The sequence below is a fragment of the Homo sapiens genome, chromosome 2 (assembly GCF_000001405.40).
Source record: "Homo sapiens chromosome 2, GRCh38.p14 Primary Assembly".
NCBI classification, from domain to species: domain Eukaryota; kingdom Metazoa; phylum Chordata; class Mammalia; order Primates; family Hominidae; genus Homo; species Homo sapiens.
In genome coordinates, this window is record NC_000002.12 from 98,124,537 (window position 1) to 98,139,669 (window position 15,133).

The following is a 15,133-nucleotide window of genomic DNA, read 5'->3' on the forward strand; positions in this document are numbered from 1 at the left end:
CTGAGACAGCAGAGGGTTCCCACAGGTACAGGGAGGATTTGGAGGTCAGATCCAGGGACTGGAGTTGGCCAGAAATGTTGCAGTGTTCAAAGGTGTACGCAGAACAAGACAGAATTTTGCTGGATCTTTTGCTGCTGTTCTGGTTGACTTTCTTTTTGCTCTTTGAAGAGTGAAGATTTTTATACCTGGAAGCCTAGGGGATGAGAGCACAGGCTCTGGCCAGTGGAGCAGAGGGCAGTCAGAGTAGAAGCACACACTCCTAATCTGTTTCTTTCTTCCCCCAAAAGCTGCAGCTAGGAAGATGTCAAGGACTCTTTGGCGGGGCAGAATGCATGTTACTGTGTGAAGCTGCAGAATGAATGGCCCAGATAGAATAAGGAATTTCAAGTGAAAACATAAAGGCTCCTCCCTACTTGATGTCATATGAAGTGGCAAGAGCTTTTTACTCACTCTAAAGGAGCTGAATGGAACTCATGTATTTTATCAAATTCGGTGCAAATCAGCATTTAGGGAAATGTGGTCGGTGAGGAAGCTACTCCTGGACTGAAGGCTGCTACTGAGCCTCAGGACTGGACTTTGCCTTCAAGGAGCTCAAAGACACTGGTTAAGGGAGCAGATTCCCATGAGGATAACTCCTTTAAGCCAAACAATCTCCTGGTCCCAACTTTTGGTCAGTGATGTTGGTATCTGGGGTAGGAGCCTGAACCCTTGGATGGTGGGGTAACCACAGAAGTGAAAAAAGTGACTGTCTGGGGCCACCTTCTATTGCTTGCTCTTACTTTCAGAATTCTGGGGCTCACATTCATCTCTAACAGGTGACCAGCCTTGCCACAAATAGCACAGCGTAGCCGTGGACAGCAAGGGCAGGGCTTGTGGGGCCAGGCAGCCTAGGCTTACCAGCTTCAAGGCCAACTCAGTTTTCCTTTCCAAGCCTCAGTTTCTTCATCTGTAAACTGGGCATGGTAATAATTCATGCTCCACAGGACTGTTGTATTGAGTGAGATAATTCATTTTAGTTTATCATCCCAAATAGCCAACAGTATTAAAGCCATTTTGCTTTAAGAGGCATTTTGCCAGTTTGATGGCAGACAGGAATAGGTAGCATATTTATCCTCCTTTCTGTTTTTCTTTTCTTTCTTTTTTTTTGAAACCGAGTCTCGCTCTGTCGCCCAGGCTGGAGTGCAGTGGCACGATTCGGCTCACTGCAAGCTCCGCCTCCCAGGTTCACGCCATTCTCCTGCCTCAGCCTCCCCAGTAGCTGGGACTACAGGCGCCTGCCACCACATCCGGCTAATTTTTCTGTATTTTTAGTAGAGACGGGGTTTCACTGTGTTAGCCAGGATGGTCTCGATCTCCCGACCTCGTGATCTGCTCGCCTCAGCCTCCCAAAGTGCTGGGATTACAGGTATGAGCCACCGCTCCCGGCCACCTTTCTGTTTTTCTAAGTGTCATCACGTGAGCAGAAAGGAGAGGCAGAAAGACCGTGTACAGGAGAGTGGGGGGGATAGGTGGTCTCAATGTAAAGCATGTCCCAGGAAATCTGTAGCGTAACACAGGGAGTTGACTGAAAATGTATGTGATTAAGAAGCCGAGTAATGAACTTAATGAATAGTGAATAATGTCATAACCTTAGTAAAGGAAAATAAATCCTGACTCACAGCAATTTTCAGTTTGATGAAATCTCAAGGGAAAAACATTTCTGCACAAGAACTTCAGGTTTTGGGATTAGTGCCAGAGGAAAGAAGCTGAGTTTACATGACGTGCATTGGACGTGTGTGGTGTCAGGAGTGGCTGACAGACCACCTCGAGATGTGTGTCCTCACCTCCCTCTTCATCTGACCAACCCTAGAAAATACTCTGTGTCTGCTCCCCTGTCTCAGGCCATGTGTCACTTAGATCCTTGCAACAGGATGAACCTGTCCCCATGCTAAACTTGGGCACTGCCGCAGCTGGAAAACTCGGATAAATAATAGGCCTGCTAAGTGGAAGCCGTTTAAATGTGTCTCCCACAAGGTCATGCATCAGACCAGGAGAAGAGTGAAACAGAACGCATCTGCTGGAAGAGCAGTATTGGCTGGCTACAAGGAATCTGGAGAAGATGGTTTCTTCCTTCCTTCAGGGTTTTTTCTCGCTTCCAGTTTACTGACTTGTATAAATTTACAATATTCCTCAGTCTTTTACTGCTCGATCAGTACTTTTTAGAATCAGGAGCTGGCGTTGAAAGGCCTGAGAGAAAGAGGCCTGGGAGGGGCCAGGGCTTTCTGTGCCTCAAGTGGCCTGATCTCAGCTCCCACTCTGTCCTTCTCCTAAGTCCCAGTCTGGGCCCCACCCACTGCGTCCCACCCCTATCCCTTCCACCTCCTTGGCACAGTCTGCTCCATCTGCTGCAGGCAGAGCACCCCAACCAACTAGAAATCAACCATGAGGACTCCCGCCCCCCACCCTCCCGGCCAGGTGCATTTAAGGCCTCGGATAGATACTGAGGTGAGGCCATTTGTTGACTATCTTCAGCTTATTGGGATTTGGGATTAGAGCAAGGAGAGGGTCATGAATCCTAAAGGGATGGTGACATCTATTTACCTTCTAACACAATGCATTTGCTGGGGTTTCTTCCCCCATTTATGTGTGGACACAGTCCATCGGGACATTTATAGGCCAGGTTGAGAGGATATGGATTCCTGGCTCTCCTTGGGTTTTTTACTTTCTGAGATGTATAGAAATGCACACATAGTTGGAAGTCATCCTGTTTCAATGCCATCATGAATAATAAACTGCATTATCTCCCTTTTAACAAGGGAAGACACTGAAGTTAGGTCAGTTGCCTGAGGTGACAGAGCTCCTGGGTGGCAGGGGTGGGGAGGACTGTGGAAGCACCGTCCCGGGAGGAGCGAGGGTGGCCGGGCTGCAGCAGAGCAGGAGGGGCGGCCGCCCTGAGATAGAGAGTTCTCTGTCTCTCAATTCAGCAGCTGGCACTTCTCTGGGATTGTCTGCTTACTGGGGGAGGTGTGCATCTTCCAGAATCACTGGTTTAAGCTGTGTGTGTGTGTGTGTGTGGGCGGGGGGGGGGGGGGTGTGTCCTGACACAGGGGTTGCTTATTCTTCCATTCTTCTCATGGCCTGGTTTGGCGGCAAGAAGCAGGGCACTGCAGGCGGACCTGGCATCTGACCAGCTGTGCACAGTCAGGACAGCCTCACCCCAGCTCCGGGCGTGTGAGTCCCTGCTTAGGTGAGCCCAGAGGTGGAGCCAGCTGAGGATGTGCCCTCCTTTCCACATTCTGCCTTAGACAGAGGATGCATGAGTTTGCATTGTAGGATTCTGGCACTGCCGCGGGCAATGGCAGATAAGCTCCCTGCCTGCAGTGGCTGTGCCAGTCCTTCCTTCATTGCTTGACTTGAAAATAACCACTCCGAACCTGTGCGATATATTTGTGGCCCAGAGGAAGTTCTCCAAATCTGCCAACCATATTCTTCTCGTGCCTTACCCAAGACAATAGCCACTGTTGACAGACCTTCCTGGTACCAAGCCTTGAATATCTCACTTCCTGACTGGCCCTGATGTCCTCAGAAAACCCTGGGCAGGGCTGCTATTCTTTCTGCCCATTTTTTCTAAGAGATCGTTTTGTAGAATGGGTATTACTGATGAGACTAGTACCAAGCTAGGGCATGTGAGGGAGATAAACCGTTGGCACCACTGTTTTGCAGATTGAATCCATTTACTACTTTGTGGTGGGGGATGTTCCTGAAGAATCCAAGGAGCTTCTCCTCCAGAGGGCCTTGGAGATCCCGTGTCCAGTCTACACAGTGTCCTTCAACGCCAGAGGAGAAGGCACTATAGCTTTTCTAAAGGATCTGAGTGCCAAGACCCACAGCAGGTAGGCAGAAAATGTGCTCTTGAGTGACAGCAAGCGGGTTGCCTGCTCACACAGGATCAACAGTGGGTCTTGCATTCTTCGTGGCTTTAACCAATCTGTTGCTGTGTTCTCCTCTTTCCAGTATATTATTTAGTCTCTCTGCATCTTTTCTTCTCCGTCTTGTATTAATCATGACTTTCTATTTTCTGCAATTCTTATGCTTTGACCTCTTGGTGCCTTGCTGGTCCAGGAGACCCTGTCCCTCCCAGGGCTAGCCAATTCCTAGAGATAGCAAATTACTCACTGGGGCACACTTTCATATGCAAACCAACCAGAGCCCACACTGCCAATCCAGGCTCTCTCACTTAGAACCGCTGTTCTCTACCCTAATCACTCCAGGGCCACACACCAGAAAACTCGGGACAGCCCCTACACCCCAGAGCTCAGGGAAATTATTCAAATAGCCTGCTTACCCTTCCTCTCCTGTTCCTTCCCTTGGAATCCACACTAAAGGTCCTCACCTACCTTTCCCCTCACTCCCTCTGCCTCCCGGCTGAGCCGGTGCTTCCCTGTGTGGCCTGCGTGGCACGCTGTGCCCCTCTCTCCTCCTGGGAACTGGGCTAGTCAGCTTGGGCTGCCATAACAAATTGCCACAGGCTGGGTGGCTTAACAAGTATTTATTTCTTACAGTTCTAGAGGCTGGGAAGTACTAGGTGAAGGAGAATTCGGTTTCTGGTGAGGTCTCTCTCCCCGCCTTGTAGGCAGCTGCCTTCTCACTCTGTTCTCACACGGTGGAGAGAGAGAGTGAGAGAGAGAGAGGAGAGAGAGAGAGAGAGAGTGTGTGTGTGTGTGTGTGTGTGTGTGTGTGTGTGGAGAGAGAGGGAGGAGAGAGAGGAGAGAGAGGAGAGAGAGAGGAGAGAGACATTGTGTGTGTGTGGAGAGAGAGAGAGCAGAGAGACGGAGAAAGAGAGAGAGACAGAGAGACAGAGAGTGAGGGCGCACTCACTGGTGTCTCTTCCTCTTCCTATAAGGTCACTCATCCTATAGAATCAGGGCCCTGCCCTATGACCTCATTTAACCTTTATTACCTCCTGTTCTATCTCCAAAGACAGTCACATTGGGAATTAGGGCTTCAACATAGGAATTTTTTTGGCTTGGGATTGGGGGAGCACAATTCAGTCCATAGGGGAACCATGAGTAACAAACTATCTTTTCAATGGCAGTAGGCTCCTTATCTATTGGCCTCACAATACCCGAATAGTAATAAAACCTGCATTTAAAAACATATGCCCCTGCACCCTGGGTCTGTGTGTGTGTGTGTATGTGTGTGTGTAAGTTTAGGTCTCTTGTGGAGAAAGATCAGCTACTTCTGTGGTTACAAGGAGAATTATAAAATCCTTTCCTAAGTTCTCCTTGAAATGGGTACAACGTCTTCCCAGAGCACTTGTTCTTTAAATATTTTTAAATTGATACATATTTGTACATATTTATAGGGCCCATGAAGGGGTGGGTTGCCCCTCCACACCTGTGAGTGTTTCTCGTTAGGTGGAACGAGAGATTTGGAAAAGAAAGAGACACAAAGTATAGAGAAAGAAAAAGGGGTCCCAGGGGACCGGCATTCAGCATACCAAGGATCCACACCGGCACCGGCCTCTGAGTTCCCTTAGTATTTATTGATCATTATCGGGTGTGGCAGGATAATAGGATAATAGTGGAGAGAAGGTCAGCAGGTAAACACATGAACAAATGTATCTGCATCATAAACAAGATAAAGAAAAAAGTGCTGCGCTTTTGATGTGCATATACATAAACATCTCAATGCCTTAAAGAGCAGTATTGCTGCCAGCTTGTCCCACCTCCAGCCCTAAGGCGGTTTTCCCCTATCTCAGTAGATGGAATATACAATCGGGCTTTACACAGAGACATTCCATTGCCCAGGGACAAGCAGGAGACAGAAGCCTTCCTCTTATCTCAACTGCAAAGAGGTATTCCTTCCTCTTTTACTAATCCTCCTCAGCACAGACCCTTTACGGGTGTTGGGCTGGGGGACAGTCAGGTCTTTCCCTTCCCACGAGGCCATATTTCAGACTGTCACATGGGGAGAAACCGTGGACAATACCTGGCTTTCCTAGGCAGAGGTCCCTGCAGCCTTCCGCAGTGTTTGTGTCCCTGGGTACTTGAGATTAGGGAGTGGTGATGACTCTTAACGAGCATGCTGCCTTCAAGCATCTGTTTAACAAAGCATATCTTGCACAGCCCTTAATCCATTTAACCCTGAGTGGACACAGCACATGTTTCAGGGAGCACAGGGTTGGGGGTAGCGTTACAGATTAACAACATCTCAAGGCAGAAGAATTTTTCTTAGTACAGAACAAAATGGAGTCTCTTATGTCTACTTCTTTCTACACAGACACAGTAACAATCTGATCTCTCTTTTCGCCACAGGCCCATGTGATATTCTGTTGCATGCATAGCATGTGGAATGATCAAGTCGGGATTTAGGATGTGCATCACCTTATTTATCATTTCTATGTGTTGGGAACATCTTAAGTCCCCTCTTCTGGCTATTGTGAAATATAAAATACACTGTTGTTAACTATAGCCACCCTACTTTACCATCGGAACATTAGAGCCTACTCCTTCTATCTCACTGTATGAACCTACTCCTTCTATCTCACTGTACGTTTGTACCCATTAACCAACCTATTTTTATCCCCCGATCCTCACACCTTTCCCAGCCACTGGTATTTATCATTCTACTCTCATCTCCATGAGATCAACTTTTCCACCTCCTACCCATGAGTGAGAACATGCGATATTTGGCTTTTTATACCTGGCTTATTTCCCGTAATATAATGACCTCCAGTTCCATCCATGTTGCTGCAAATGACGGCATTTCCTTCTTTTTGTGGCTGAATAGTATTTATTAAGTATATACCACCTTTCTTTATCCATTCACCCATTGATGGACACTTAGGTTGATTCCGTATCTTGGCTATTGTGAATAGTGCTGTAATAAACACAGGGTGCAGATATCCCTTTGATATGCCGACTTCCTTTTCTTTGGGTAAATACCTGGTAGTGGGATTGTTGGATTGTATGGTAGTTCTATTTTTAGTTTTTTGAGAAATCTCCATAGTCTTTCCTATAATGGCTGTACTAATTTACATTCCCACCAACAATTTATAAGACTTCCCTTTTCTCTGCCTCCTCAGCAGCATCTGTCATTTTTTCTTTTTGATAACAGCCCTCCTAACAGGGTAAGATGGCATCTTGTTCTTAAGTGTAGGTGCTCATCACAGTCACTGGGGAGCTTGTTAATGATACAGAGGCCAGGCTTCACCTTGCCGGCTCATTCCACGTCATAGAGAGAGCCCGGGAATATGAATTTTTCCCATCACTTTGCATAATACCTGCCCAGAGAGCTTGATTGAGATGCAAATTTTATAGCCGCAGCCCCAGGAATTCTAATTTTCAAGATCTGTGAAGGGCTAGAAATTTTCATTGTTAACAAGACTTTGGGACTCTAAGGACCATTGCTGTGGCTGCTCTTACGGCACTTTGAAATCTTTTAACATCAAGTATGTGGCTCCCATTCTGGGTTCCTGAGCCCCTAAGTACAGAAGGGGGCTCCCTCCTGTGACCTCGCTAGTTGAAAGAGAAGAGGCAACTGGCCAGTCACCTCTCTTGCTGTTCTCTGATTAGCTCATCTGGGGCATGCTAGAGCCCAGGGAATAATTTCCTGTGAGAGAAGCTGTGGTTCAGCTACCTAACGAGGCCATGCAGCCATGGAGGTGGGTCTTGCAGAAAAGGATGAGGTATTGATGTATCCTCCTGTCCATGCTCTGGGCCTTTGCAGGCAAGCGTAACCCATCACGAGTAGTGCCCCTGCCTTCTCCACTCCCTGCCTGGACACCCCATGGCTTCTGGTTGGTCTTGGTGCACCTTTGGCCATGGGGCCCCAGCTGGAGGGCAGTTATTCTCCAGCTGCAAGTGGCATGTCCTGAGTGTCTCAGGTTGCAGGAGGCTGCCTGGTCTGGTGACCCTCCAACTGGACTCCGGCTTCCCCTGTGCCAGAGGCTGTGTCTGGGTAGAACCACCAGTCCAAGCACAGCGCTGTGCTCTAAGGCTCAAACAGCCTGTCATAATGCTGAGTTGCTTCTGCACAAGCGAGACTATATCAGCCAGAGGAAATTTCTGCCCTGCTCCCTTTTCTAATCTAGAAAACAGATCAGAGAGTGGAAGGTCCTGGGTGCCAAAGGCCTTGACACTCAGGGCATGGGGCCTGCTGGGGCAAACCTCACCCATCTCCCCTCCTTGCCCTACAGGGCAAGGGAGCTGGACATTTCTGCTCTGGATGAAGCTCCTGCAGGAGTTGGGAATGACCAGGCTAAGAGTTCATTGGCTTTAGGAAGGGCACCAGAATGAGGCTGACATTTTAATTGCCGTCAAGTCATTATTCCAGTCTCGCCTGAAACCCTTTGGGAAGAGACTGAGGATTTCCATAGCCGCGGTGGGTTCCCTAGACTTCTCCCAACATTTCCATCCTGAGCGGTGCTTGGGATTTCTCTGAGTTGAGTGTGTGGTGCTAGGCAGAGACGGAACTCCTGCGTGGCTGGTGGAGCATTACTTGTGACTTCCTCTGTCCACCTGAAAGAAATGTCCTGCTATTTATGGACTTTTTGGATTCCAGTTAAGTGGCTTTGAGGGTGTGACTTAGCCCATCACCCTGTGCACTACATCAGTGCTTTCAAACTTTCATGTGTCTGTCAGCCCCCTGGGGACCCTGTTAAATGGATATTTGGACTCCACAGGGCTGGGTGGGGGCCTGGGAGTGTGTATTCCTAACCTGCTGCTCCTTGGACCATGCTTTGAAAAGACAGGTCCTAAAAACTTGTCTACACAGGAATGCTTCTCATTCGTGCTTAAGCCTGGCTCCTGGGGAAGTGTGTGTTTGCTGAGTTAAAGTTGACTGATGCCCATCAGCAGCAGGCAAATTAGGCAAATGCTGTCTGTGTCATGAGCTGTCCTCACTGAACCTACAGAGCTGATGGGTGCTACTGGGGCCCCTCATTAGACCCCTGGCTTGGCTAAGCTGTGTTGACATGACGGAACCCTGGGAACAAGAGAAAGAATATAAGCATAGAGTGTCATTTTCCCAGGACCAAGAAATACCATTTGGTTGAGCTAATTTACCCTCTAATGAAAGGATGAGTTGTCGGTTAAAATCCCACATCATTCACAATTCTCTGTGCTATTCTGCCTCCCTGTCTTTTGCTTGTGGAATTGACAAGGTGCAGGAAGAAGCAGTGACCATGGCTAAGAAGATGAAGATGCCCAGTGCTGCCGAAGAGCACGTTCAGTCCCAGGAGAAGGAACAAGCATGCACGGACACCTGCGTACTGCCTTCCTAATGAGCATCTCTTCACGTTTCAGATTCCACGCATTTGCCGAGAGAACAGAGTGTGTAGAATTTCCTGCATTCTCCACAAAGGATGGTGACAATGTGATGACTTGGAATTCAAGGAAACTGAAAGGAAAACTCCCTCCAGGTACCTGGAATCCAAAAGAAGTGGTGTAGCTTATGTCCCGAATAGCCTCAGACGACGTGGATCATTAGGAAGTAAAGTACGAGGGAGAGACTCCCCATGTCTTTTGTATAATGTTATTAATGTAGTGCAAGAGCAGAGTTAATGGATATTAGTGGTGAGTTTGTCAGCGTAGCAACCAGGCATAAGTTTACAATCCAGGGAAATGGCCTAAGCGATGTGTGTTTACTAACTTGAGAACCTGCTGGAGATGTGGCCCTGGGCCTGTCAATGCCGGAGTTAGTTCTTGGCAAGGCAGAGCCACTCTGCTGTGTGGATTAGTTGGGAGGCTGCAGAGAGGGTGCCTGCGGTTCTTGAGGGGGTTTCTGCTGTCCTCCCTGTGATGAAAGCAGGGCCTGCGGATGCAGCTTGAGGGAGTGGCCTGCCCCTTGTGAGGGCGGAGGCCGCACAGGAACCTTTACGGAGGCGGAATGAACTTCCCCTTTCATTCAATGAATGTGATCAGAGAACTTAATGAGCACAGAGAATGAGGTCACCAAATCAGCGGGAAATAGGCTGTGATTCAGAAAAACAGTGGAAGGTTACTCAGAAAGCCAGGAGATGGGAGTTTCTTTTAAGCTGATGAAATTGCAAAGTGCTGAAGACTGAATAAACCCCACTGAGAAAAGGAGGGAAGGAAGCCCCTGTTCGATTGTTGGATGAAGGTACCTGGTGGGTTGTTAGAAGTCTAAGAAAGCTCACCCCCACTCTCCCTCTTTTTAAATTATCAAACAGATTTCTAGCTTCATTATAAGGCAGAGAGGCTACTCTTTAGGGATAAGAGAGAAGCTGTAGCAACAGCTGCTTGAAAGATTTACGTAACGGTGCTGCAAAGGCTCCCAGGAGAAGGTTAGGTTTTCAGATGGAGATAAAAGTGAAGATGAGTCATGAGCCTGTTCCTGACACACACTTTGTAGATTCAGATTCTTGGTGTCCAAGCAGAGGAGGGGAGATGTTCCCATAGAGTTCACTGGAGGCACTACTTCACGTAATGGAAACCTTTGTTCCAATCATGAAGGGGACATCTCCAGAGAATTCGAGAAAATGCCAACATATAGGCAAGATCGATGCTAATCTAAGAAGAAATTAATTCAGGATATATGTCATGCCTATTGAAAGTAATTTACAAGATTAAGCCTAGTGGGCAATGATTTAATCACGGCAAAGAATGTGAGATGTTACTAGCAAACCAAGGTGGGCCAATTACTGGAAATGGGGTTTAGTCTTGGTCTCTGGATTCCTTGGCAACTTAGTTATAAAGGGAAATACAAACTGCATAGCTTACATTTTCAGCAACTACCATCTTACCAACCCTTTGAAGCATGCAAATTACATACAAAAACATTTTTCTTTTTTTTTTTTTTTTTTTTTTTTTTTTGAGACAGAGTCTCGCTCTGTCGCCCAGGCTGGAGTGCAGTGGCGGGATCTCGGCTCACTGCAAGCTCCGCCTCCCGGGTTCACGCCATTCTCCTGCCTCAGCCTCCCGAGTAGCTGGGACTACAGGCGCCCGCCACTACGCCCGGCTAATTTTTTGTATTTTTAGTAGAGACGGGGTTTCACCGTTTTAGCCGGGATGGTCTCGATCTCCTGACCTCGTGATCCGCCCGCCTCGGCCTCCCAAAGTGCTGGGATTACAGGCGTGAGCCACCGCGCCCGGCCAAAAACATTTTTCTTAGAATAAAATGCTTGGCATGGATCGTTGTTCTCAATCCATTTCAGTGATCACATCTGAATTTGGAGGGAGAATCTCAAATCCTAAATACGTGATCTTGTCTCCTCTGTCCATCACAATGTCCCAGAAATGCCAACATTTCAAAGCCTACCTCTCCCAAACTGCCCAGAAACCTTGACAGACTGTTTTTATTTGGAAAATGTGTGATTTCCCACCTCACCTGGGCCTCAGAGGCAGGTTTCTTCCCTTTACCTGATCACATCTCTCTCCGTTGCCACATCAGCCGTTTCACGCATTTTCCACATCACTTTCCTCAGGCCACCCTCTCGTTTGGTGGGGGAGTGACTTCTTACATTATTTCCCCCTCCATTGTATAGAAAATAGAGACTCTCAAGTAAGGGGTTGGAGAAGCATAGCTCAGAGGACTTTTCTGGCAATGTGAAGGAATTTCCTGCTATTATTGACTTTTTGGATACCAGATAATAGGCTTTCAGGGTATGACTTACCATGACCCCATGCTCTGTACCAATACAAAAAAACTCTGCAGTTAAGATAAAAAATGTTTTTTAAAAAATTATAGTAAATTATATATGCCATAAATTTACTATCTTAACCACTCTTAAGCTGACAGTTCACTAGTGTTAAGTACATTCCCATTGTTGTACACCCATCACCACCCTTTTCATCTTCCCAAACTGAAACCCTGTGCCCATTAAACAGTAACTTCCTATGTCTATGTCTGTTCATGCTGCTATAGCAAAATACCCAAGACTGGGTAATTTATAAAGAGAAACTTATTGCTCACAGTTCTGGAGGCTGGGGAATCGAAGATCAAGGCACTAGCCGATTTGGTGTCTGGTGAAGGCTCACTCTGCTTCCAAGACGGTGCCTTGCTGCTGTATCTTTGGGAGGGGAGGAATGCTGCACCCTCACGGGCAGAAGAGATGAAAGGGCCAAAAAAAAAAAAAAGGCAAACTGGACACTCCCTTCAGCCTCTTTTATAAGAGCACTAATCTTATTCAGGAGGACTCCATCCTCATGACTTAATCACTTCCCAAAAGGCCCCACTCTCAATACTGTGACATTGGGTATTAGGTTCCAATGTATGAATTTTGGAGGGACACATATATTCAAATCACTGCACCCCATTTGTCCCACCCTCACCCCTAGCAACCGCCATTCTACTTTCTTTCTGTCTCCTTTCTGAATTTGACTACTCTAGGTAGTATCTCATAAATAGGTGCAATTATACAGTATTTGTCCTTCTGCCACTGGCTTATTTCACTTAGCGTAATGTCCTCAAGCTTCATCTATGTTGTAATATGTCAGAATTTCCATCCTTTCTAAGGTTGATAATAGTCCATTATATGGATATACCACATCTTGTTTACTGATTCATCCACCCATGGACTTTTGGGTTGCTTCTACCTTTTGTCTGTTGGGAACAATGTTATGAATATGGGTGTACAAAATAGCTCTTTGAGATTCTGCTTTTCATTCTTTTGGATATATACTCAGAATGGAAGTTCTGAATCATATATGGGGATTCTATTTTTAATGTTTTTTCCAGAAACCTTCATACTGTTTTCCATAGTGGCTGTACCATTTTACATTCCTACCAACAGTGCACAAAGTTCCCACATCCTGGCCAACACTTGTTATTTTCCCTGTTTTTGATAGTAGCCATCCTAATGGGTGTGAGGCAATATCTCATTGTGGTTTTTATTTGGATTTCCCTAATGATTCATTATTTTGAGCATCTTTTCATGTGCTTGTTGAAATTTTGACATAATATTTTAAAAAGTCAAAGTTAATGCCACAAAAATCCATGATGATGAAAATATCACAATTTCAAATAAAGACAGGCTCCAACAAGACTCTGTGAGGCCATATTGGAGCCTGAGGCAAGAGGAGAAATGTGTACCTCTCTATATATATATGTTTTTATTTATTATTTGTAATGATAATTTGTTTCTAGGTTATTAAGTTTAAAGATATTGAACAATTAAAAAGTGTATTAATACATTAAGTTTATTTTGGGAGTATATTTATATCTCTCACTAAAGTTTTTATTCATCACACATACTTTCAAAGTTACTTTCTCACATTTCTTATAATTTACAACTCTGAATTGAAAATGAAATAAATAGACTTAGAACATACTTGTTAATTGATGAATTTGTTTCCATCAAGATTAGGAGTGTAAAATAATAACAAATTCTGTTTTGGTACAAATAAAATAATGTAAATTATTTAAATTAAAAACATTCCTACTTTTTAATTTTCTAGTATTTTTTCAACTACTTTAGTGTTCTGGGAAAAAATTACCCATTGCAAATCCATGCCATCATGTGTGCAGGGGTACACATCGCATTGCTCCCCTTTGCCTCTGCCTCCAACATGGCTCCATGTGGCCCTGCTCAGCAGGCCCCTCCCCACCTTCTAACACCATCCACTTTCCTCTTCCACATGCACCTCGTTTTCAACCTCTGTCTGAATGTCTGCCATCTCTTGGGCCATGTGAACTTGCTCTCATGTAAGCTCTGGAAGATGCTCCTTTGCTTCCCTGCTTCCTTCCATGTAAACATTACCTTTCTGGGAAGCCTTCCGTGGCCAGTGTCTCCCGTCTGCCCTTTTAGGCTGCTTGTTGAGGCATCTGCTGCAGCATACAAGCCATAGACAGGACAGTACCTTTTAATGGTAATTTGGGAAGGTCCAGAAACCAGAGCAGGCAAGAAGTTCTGTTCACAAACTCCTGTATGCTAGAGAGATCCATTAAAAATTCCATAATTGTATTTTTTCATGAGCTCGCCCGTATTTTCTTACACACTGGGGGAAAACTTGCAGAATTCCTGTTTTTCCCTGCTGCGTATGCCCCCTGAGCCCAGGAAGCACAGAGTGATGACAAATATGTGTGGGGCGGGGGCGCGGATCTCATAATATTCATGACATGGTCTCCACCATCTGCACCTCCTGAAGCAAATCTCGATGTTTCCAGAAAGGAATAATTACTCACCTGCGTGAGGGTGGGGCTAGGTTGCTGGCCTGCGCTGGGCTCCCAGGCCCTTGGTGCAGCTACTTGGCTGGGTGGTCAGAATCCCAGGGCCCCAAAAGCTGAGTGCCTGAACCTGGGTACGTGGCGGTTGTCTCAGCTTTTACTTCCAGGGATGACTGTGAGAGGTGACAGCGTGCTGGCAGTCCTCACAGCCTCGCTCACTCTCAGTGCCTCCTCTGCCTGGGCTCCCACTTTGGCGGCACTTGAGGAGTCCTTCAGTCCGCCGCTGCACTGTGGGAGCCCATTTCTGGGCTGACCAAGGCCGGAGTCGGCTCCCTCAGCTTGCAGGGAGGTGTGGAGGGAGAGGCACGAGCGGGAGCCGGGGCTGCGCGTGGAGCTTGCAGGCCAGCTGGAGTTCCGGGTGGCTGTGGGCTTGGCAGGCCCCGCACTCGGAGCAGCCGGCCGGCCCTGCCGGCCCCAGGCAATGAGGGGCTTAGCACCCAGGCCAGCAGCTGCGGAGGGTGTACTGGGTCCCCCAGCAGTGCCGGCCCACCGGAGCTGCTCTCGATTTCTCGCCAGGCCTTAGCTGCCTTCCCGCGGGGCAGGCCTCGGGACTGCAGCCCGCCATACCTGAGCCTTCCCCCGCCTCCGTGGGCTCCTGTGCAGCCCAAGCCTCCCCGACGAGCGCCACCCCCTGCTCCACGGTGCCCAGTCCCATCGACCACCCAAGCGCTGAGGAGTGCGGGCGCACGGTGCAGGACTGGCAGGCAGCTCCACCTGAAGCCCCTGTGTGGGATCCACTGGGTGAAGCCAGCGGGGCTCCTGAGTCTGGTGGGGACGTGGAGAACCTTTATGTCTAGCTCAGGGATTGTAAATACACCAATCGGCACTCTGTGTCTAGCTCAAGGTTTGTAAACACACCAATCAGAACCCTGTGTCTAGCTCAGGGTTTGTGAATGCACCAATTGACACTCTGTATCTAGCTACTCTGGTGGGGCCTTGGAGAACCTTTGTGTGGACACTCTGT

General features: G+C 47.4%; 1 protein-coding gene across 16 annotated transcripts in view, besides 7 other annotated features; it reads left to right on the top strand.

Annotated features, from left to right (window-relative positions):
- The window catches only part of VWA3B (von Willebrand factor A domain containing 3B), a 243,450-nt gene that overhangs the window by 37,370 nt on the left and 190,947 nt on the right, over positions 1-15,133 (top strand). For 14 of the 16 annotated variants that reach the window (XR_922885.4, NR_144296.2, XR_922884.2 and 11 more), the window contains 2 exons: positions 3,703-3,872; positions 9,288-9,403. The exons of 1 other annotated variant lie outside the window; for it this stretch is intronic. Coding sequence is in view for 10 of the 15 variants with exons in the window: in NM_144992.5 (NP_659429.4) it covers positions 3,703-3,872; positions 9,288-9,403 (286 nt within the window). In the remaining 5 variants the exon portion in view is untranslated. Of the gene's footprint in view, positions 1-3,702; positions 3,873-9,287; positions 9,404-15,133 lie in introns of those variants that run through there. One more of the 16 variants, XM_047443641.1, reaches the window with a different exon arrangement.
- Positions 4,010-4,304: a silencer, noted in NCBI's record as "tiled region #9320; K562 Repressive non-DNase unmatched - State 21:Repr". NCBI's record gives its function as "represses a minimal TATA promoter and a strong SV40 promoter by Sharpr-MPRA in K562 cells {active_cell/tissue: K562}" and the evidence as "EXISTENCE:reporter gene assay evidence [ECO:0000049][PMID:27701403]".
- Positions 5,448-6,274: an enhancer, noted in NCBI's record as "NANOG-H3K27ac hESC enhancer chr2:98746447-98747273 (GRCh37/hg19 assembly coordinates)". NCBI's record gives its function as "activates a minimal SCP1, AML or CMV promoter by ChIP-STARR-seq in naive H9 embryonic stem cells {active_cell/tissue: H9 hESC(naive)}" and the evidence as "EXISTENCE:reporter gene assay evidence [ECO:0000049][PMID:30033119]".
- Positions 7,233-7,819: an enhancer, noted in NCBI's record as "H3K27ac-H3K4me1 hESC enhancer chr2:98748232-98748818 (GRCh37/hg19 assembly coordinates)". NCBI's record gives its function as "activates a minimal SCP1, AML or CMV promoter by ChIP-STARR-seq in primed H9 embryonic stem cells {active_cell/tissue: H9 hESC(primed)}" and the evidence as "EXISTENCE:reporter gene assay evidence [ECO:0000049][PMID:30033119]".
- Positions 7,820-8,405: an enhancer, noted in NCBI's record as "H3K27ac-H3K4me1 hESC enhancer chr2:98748819-98749404 (GRCh37/hg19 assembly coordinates)". NCBI's record gives its function as "activates a minimal SCP1, AML or CMV promoter by ChIP-STARR-seq in primed H9 embryonic stem cells {active_cell/tissue: H9 hESC(primed)}" and the evidence as "EXISTENCE:reporter gene assay evidence [ECO:0000049][PMID:30033119]".
- Positions 9,134-10,333: an enhancer, noted in NCBI's record as "P300/CBP strongly-dependent group 1 enhancer chr2:98750133-98751332 (GRCh37/hg19 assembly coordinates)". NCBI's record gives its function as "activates an origin of replication core promoter dependent on BRD2, BRD4, P300/CBP, MED14 and CDK7 cofactors, with strong dependence on P300/CBP, by STARR-seq in HCT116 cells {active_cell/tissue: HCT116}" and the evidence as "EXISTENCE:reporter gene assay evidence [ECO:0000049][PMID:35650434]".
- Positions 9,805-9,864: an enhancer, noted in NCBI's record as "active region_16255". NCBI's record gives its function as "activates an Ori minimal core promoter by ATAC-STARR-seq in GM12878 lymphoblastoid cells {active_cell/tissue: GM12878}" and the evidence as "EXISTENCE:reporter gene assay evidence [ECO:0000049][PMID:35858748]".
- Positions 9,885-9,934: an enhancer, noted in NCBI's record as "active region_16256". NCBI's record gives its function as "activates an Ori minimal core promoter by ATAC-STARR-seq in GM12878 lymphoblastoid cells {active_cell/tissue: GM12878}" and the evidence as "EXISTENCE:reporter gene assay evidence [ECO:0000049][PMID:35858748]".